This window comes from Homo sapiens, chromosome 2, assembly GCF_000001405.40.
Source record: "Homo sapiens chromosome 2, GRCh38.p14 Primary Assembly".
In the NCBI taxonomy this organism is placed as follows: domain Eukaryota; kingdom Metazoa; phylum Chordata; class Mammalia; order Primates; family Hominidae; genus Homo; species Homo sapiens.
The window spans coordinates 79118920-79124812 of NC_000002.12; the positions used below are offsets into that span (position 1 = coordinate 79118920).

At 40.1% G+C, this 5893-nt stretch overlaps 1 protein-coding gene across 1 annotated transcript; it reads left to right on the forward strand.

Moving 5' to 3' along the window:
• REG1A (regenerating family member 1 alpha) lies at positions 1569 to 4490 on the forward strand. Its single transcript, NM_002909.5, has 6 exons — positions 1569 to 1595; positions 1897 to 2006; positions 2643 to 2761; positions 3069 to 3206; positions 3922 to 4033; positions 4229 to 4490. Exons 2-6 carry the CDS (start codon positions 1943 to 1945, stop codon positions 4294 to 4296), a joined length of 501 nt encoding a protein of 166 aa, NP_002900.2. The 5' UTR covers positions 1569 to 1595; positions 1897 to 1942; the 3' UTR covers positions 4297 to 4490.

Genomic DNA, 5893 nt, shown 5'->3' on the forward strand with positions numbered 1-5893 from the left:
GTATAACTACTTTTTGTAAAAGCAGAAAAAATTTGGATTAATTTAACAAATGCATATGAACCAGTGAGAATAAACAATGTTAACATTTGTCATCTTTGTTTAATATCGTTAGTTTTTGTTTTTATTTTTTGAGACAGTTCCCTGTTCTATCACCCAGGCTGGAGTGCAGTGGCACAACTCACTGCAACCTCTACTTCCCAAGCTCAAACAATCCCCCACCTTAGCCTCTTAAGTAGCTGAGACTACAGGCATGTGCCACCATATCTGGATATATATATATATATATATATATATATATATATATATATATATATATATATATATACTTTTTTTGTAGAGATGGGGTCTCGCTATGTTGCCCAGGCTGGTCTCGAATTCCTGGGCTCAAGTGATCCTCTCATCTCAGTCTCCCAAAGTGCTGGGATGACAGGCTTGAGCCACCACACCAGGCCCATCATCAGTTTTTATATAAAGAAAAAAAAACCTTAAAATTGTTAGGCAAATACTATGACAAATTGTAATATATATTCTTACATTTCAGATTTTTATTTTTTAAACTGTATAAGAATTGATTAATAAATAAAATTTAGTATTAATCTGTCTTTTAAAACCATATATAAAGTTTATCAAATAGCTTATAACTTCTTGCAACTGAATTTTTGTATTCAATGTTATGGCTTTGATACTAGTCCAAGTTGAAATATAGATATCTACTTTATTCGATTTAAATTCTGTTTAGTATTTTATTATATTTTGTTAATCCATTTGTCCCAATTCATATACTTATCTCTCTTTCTGTGAATATTCAGGTTAGTTTTTTCTTCCTAATTTTGCATTCTGATTGGCTTTTATTCCCTGAATTATAAATGACTATTCTATGATGATTCTGGTAAATACTCAATTTCACCACACAATCTTTGACTTCATACTAACAAACAGTTGACTTCAAATGGACAATTTCAATGAAGCCTGACTTCATATTTAGCTCCTTTAAGCTTCCTTAGGCATCAGCTCTCTACAATTCTCACATTGAGAATATGTGTATTTTGTTAGCTCAAACCTTGTTAGACATGTTAAATGTTTAGAAATATAAATTTAACCTACCCCTTGAGGTAGGTCTTGAGAGGTTTGTGAGCCTAAAAAGACATGGAGGAACCACTTATTGCCACAAGCACATTGTTCTAAATTATTTGGAATCAGTTAATTCTTCCCCATCTCCTACCCATGCCTGACACCAAAGAGGAGCCTCTAAATTTACAGGGAATACAAGGAAGTCTACTGTTCTCTGCTCCTCTCTGGGTTATTAGGGCACATGGGAGCCCTCAGTTGTTTTCTGCTGAGCAAGAGCAAAGTCCACCTTGGACTTAGACAGCTTGCCAAATTTTTTGCCAGAAGGGGACCTGAGTTGTGACCACTCCCAGTGTGTGCCGGGAAAAGGCTCGTACTGGTGCCAGAATCTCTTACTGTCAATGCTCCCAAAACTCACCGCTTGCCCCCACCCCTTTTGCTTAAATGACGTGGTTCTTATCTCAGATCCTGATATAAAGCTCCTACAGCTACCTGGCCTGAGAAGCCAACTCAGACTCAGCCAACAGGTAAGTGGGCATTACAGGAGAAGGGCGTCTCTAACATGCACTGTAGATCTAAAATCTTCGGGAAGATACAGCATGAGTTTCTGTCCAAGAGGTTTTAGCTGTAATGAAGCCTCAGTGGGATCCAAAGTTGTTTTTCAGTTACTGAGTCTGTATAATCCCCACTCTCAAGAGAAACATTTGAAGGTGTGGGTGTCTCAGAGGACCTTCCTGGTCTCAGAAATTCTGAGAGGAGGTTTTAAGGAAGGTAATAGGTGCTTTGCTCTCCATCTCTCAGAACCCCCTTCTCTGTGTTCTCCTATAGAGATTGTTGATTTGCCTCTTAAGCAAGAGATTCATTGCAGCTCAGCATGGCTCAGACCAGCTCATACTTCATGCTGATCTCCTGCCTGATGTTTCTGTCTCAGAGCCAAGGTAAGATCTCTTTTCCACCAACCAACTCTTTCTAGCCCTGAAGACTTCACTCTATCCCCAAGCATACGGGTCTACTTGAAAAAAAAAAAAAAAGCAGAGTCACTGTTAAGGGTTGTTTTGTGGTGTTTAGTGATCTTTATTGCTGATCTCTTCACATTTATATACATCCACACCTCATTAAGGAGTTGGAGCTAGAATTTAAAATGACCCCTTATAAGCAACTGCTGCAGTTGGCATGAGTTTATCTGATTAAATTTATACGTGATGGTGGATTTGGGGATGTCTGTGTGTAGACAGTCACTAATGGGGTGGAGAACTGAAGAGAGCCTTGTGTTCAGGGAAACCAAGTCAGGCTTGAGAAAGTAGAAGGCTGAGTCCTTCAAGGTAGAAGAGCCTGAGCTCCAGACATAAAAGGGAAACTGGAGACTTGTTTCTTTGGCCTATTCATTCTGTTTTTTTTCCCCTGATCAAAGAAACCAAAGACAGAAGATGTAGGATGCAGGAGCAATAGTGAGCAGTCATCCCATAATAGACTGGATTCTTCTGTTTCTATAAAGGAACCTCAGAAGCTCTTACCTCACCTTCAAGCCTTTTCCTTACCCTGAGAGCCTCCTTTAATTGTCTCTTCTTTTTCAGGCCAAGAGGCCCAGACAGAGTTGCCCCAGGCCCGGATCAGCTGCCCAGAAGGCACCAATGCCTATCGCTCCTACTGCTACTACTTTAATGAAGACCGTGAGACCTGGGTTGATGCAGATGTGAGTGAGGAGAGCAGTGTGGGAAGGGAGACTCATGAAGGGAGGGGAAGCTGCCACTCTCCAGTGTGTTCAGTGGCTGCAATGAGATGAGACTGAACCCCTTGCTATACTATCATCAGCCCCAAACTTTCCAATCTACTTTATCCCATTATTCAGCACATTCCCAGCACAAAGAACCTGGTGGTCAGTGACAGCATCATCACGGACATTACTCTGCTGTCCTTTTTCTGACCCGTCCTCTTGGAGGACTCAGTATATCCGTCACAACTTCCTCCTCCACTGAGTGCTCCATTTTCTTCTGCAACAGCTCTATTGCCAGAACATGAATTCGGGCAACCTGGTGTCTGTGCTCACCCAGGCCGAGGGTGCCTTTGTGGCCTCACTGATTAAGGAGAGTGGCACTGATGACTTCAATGTCTGGATTGGCCTCCATGACCCCAAAAAGGTAGGCTGCAGCCTTCTTTATCTCCTAATGATCAGGTTTGAGAAGTAAGAAGGAGGTTCAAGTTCTGGTCTCTTAAGTACCAGCTTTTATCGCTTTCCAGAAATCAGGCTGTTTACAGATCCTCTAATGTCCTGTGTAGCAAGGTGCACTGTAGATGATTGGAGATATAAGTGGAAGGCTGAATTTCCTAGGTGTTCTTGTCATTCATGAATAAACTTATTCTGTTTTCAGTCAACAAAGCATCTTTATGCACCAACTTCTTACCTATTTTGTTACTGTCAGAGTCACAAGAGAGACTAGATTGCCGACTATATAGGAAAGGAGACTTGTGGTAAAAATCTGCTGCTGTACTGCTGGCATTTGGGAACCTGGTAGTATACTAAATAATATAATATATCAACAACTAATGGTCAGCCAATGCTATGCTGGATATGAGGGTCCTGGGCCACAAAGACAAAAAATCAGGAACCACTTTTTAAGTGAGATACTTTGGGTCTCTGTCAAATTCATAACACTTATTTCTTGGTGGAATACAGTTAATGAGTTGGACAGTTCAGGAAAGAAGTTTAGAGCAATAGCAAAGGAAAGGAAACAATATTTAGCAAGGTTTATTCTTCCTTTGTGTCTTAGCATGTTTCTGAGTGTGCACACAGGCCCAGTGATTCCATGTATTTTTGAGTGACCACTGCCTCTGTTCTGGCCCTTCCCCATCTAGAACCGCCGCTGGCACTGGAGCAGTGGGTCCCTGGTCTCCTACAAGTCCTGGGGCATTGGAGCCCCAAGCAGTGTTAATCCTGGCTACTGTGTGAGCCTGACCTCAAGCACAGGTGAGAGGCAGAGAATCCATCCACCTGTTTCTGTTCTCTCCTGCTTAGCTCCAGGGATGGAACTGGGACTGGGATAGAGGAAAGGTGAACTCCTCATTAAGGAAATGGATGTTTGGTTTTTGTCCTGAGTCCTAAAGCCAGGAGGGTCATACTCTTTCGGGTCTCCCAGTTGTAACTCTTCTCATTGACTTATAGGATTCCAGAAATGGAAGGATGTGCCTTGTGAAGACAAGTTCTCCTTTGTCTGCAAGTTCAAAAACTAGAGGCAACTGGAAAATACATGTCTAGAACTGATCCAGCAATTACAACGGAGTCAAAAATTAAACCGGACCATCTCTCCAACTCAACTCAACCTGGACACTCTCTTCTCTGCTGAGTTTGCCTTGTTAATCTTCAATAGTTTTACCTACCCCAGTCTTTGGAACCCTAAATAATAAAAATAAACATGTTTCCACTATTGTGCTGTCTTACTGTGTCTGCTATTTCCACAGCTGATGCCTGGGTGGTTGAGATGAGAGTGATTACAACAAAGCTTGCTCTGGCCTATCCACTTCTTAAAAGTCCATCCGCATACCATGCATATTGGAATTCAGTATTTATGAACATATGTGGCTTTGCTTATGACAAGGTTAACAAGATGGAGATTGACCAAAAACTCACATGCTGGCATATCTCAAAGATTTTTGCATTCAGTTCCAGATCACTGTAATAAGGGTAATGTCACAGAAAAGCAAGTTACACAGGTTTTTTTTTTTTTGCTTCCCTTTGCATATAAATGTTTTACTGTAGTCTATTATACGAGCAATAGCATTATATCTAAACAGAAATATACATACTTTAATGAAATAGTATTTTATTGCTAAAAAATGCTAACAATCATCAGCGTCTTCAGCAAGTAGTATTCTTTTGCTCGTGAATGGTATTGCCTCAATGTTGATGGCTGCTGCCTGAGCAGGGCAGTAGTTGCTGAAGGTTAGGGTGGCTGTGGAAGTTTCTTAAAATAAGACTACAATGAAGTTGGCCACATTGATTTGATTCTTCCTTTCATGAATGATTTCTTTATAGCATGTAGTATTGTTTGATAGCATTTTTCCCACAGTACAACTTCTTTTAAATTGGAGTCGGCCTCTCCAAACCCTGCTGCTTCTTTATCAACTAAGTTTATATGTTGTTCTAAACCCTATGTTGTCATTTTAACAATGTTCACAGCACCTTTGTCAAGAGTGGATTCCATTTCAGGAAACCACTTTCTCTGCTCATCCATAAGAAGCTGCTCCTTATCCTTTCAAGTTTTATCATAAGATTGCAGCGGTTCAGACACCTCTTCATGCTGCATTTCTAATTTTAGTTCTCTTGATATTTCCACTACATTCACAGTTACTTCCTTCATGGAAATCTTGATCCTTTCAAAGTTATCCATGAAGTTGGAATCAGCGTCTTCCAATCTCCAGTGAATAATGATATATTGACCTCCTCCCTTAAATAAAAAATGTTCTTAATGGTATCTAGAATGGTGTATTCTTTCCAGATGGTTTTCAATTTACTTTGCCCAGATCCTTCAGAGGAATCACTATGTATGGCAGCTATAGCTTTGTGACATGTATTTGTTAAATAATAAGAATTGAAAGGTGAAATTACTTTTTGATCCCTAGGCTGCAAAACAGATTTTGTATTAGAAGCAGGCATGAAAAAGTCCTAAATCTTCTTGCATATATCTGTGTTCCTAGGTGACAAGGTGCATCATCAATGAGCAGTAATATTTTTGAAAAATCTTTTTTCTCATACATAGGTCTTAACAAGTAGGATTAAAATATTCAATAAACTATGCTATAAACAGATGCTCTCATCCAGGCTTTAGTG

Bases quoted from the DNA above. Each gene is read 5' to 3' on its own strand.
- REG1A (NM_002909.5), top strand. From the start codon at position 1,943: ATGGCTCAGACCAGCTCATACTTCATGCTGATCTCCTGCCTGATGTTT. The intron at 2,007-2,642 runs GTAAGATCTCTT...CTTCTTTTTCAG, and splicing joins GTTTCTGTCTCAGAGCCAAG to GCCAAGAGGCCCAGACAGAG. The intron at 2,762-3,068 runs GTGAGTGAGGAG...CTTCTGCAACAG, and splicing joins AGACCTGGGTTGATGCAGAT to CTCTATTGCCAGAACATGAA.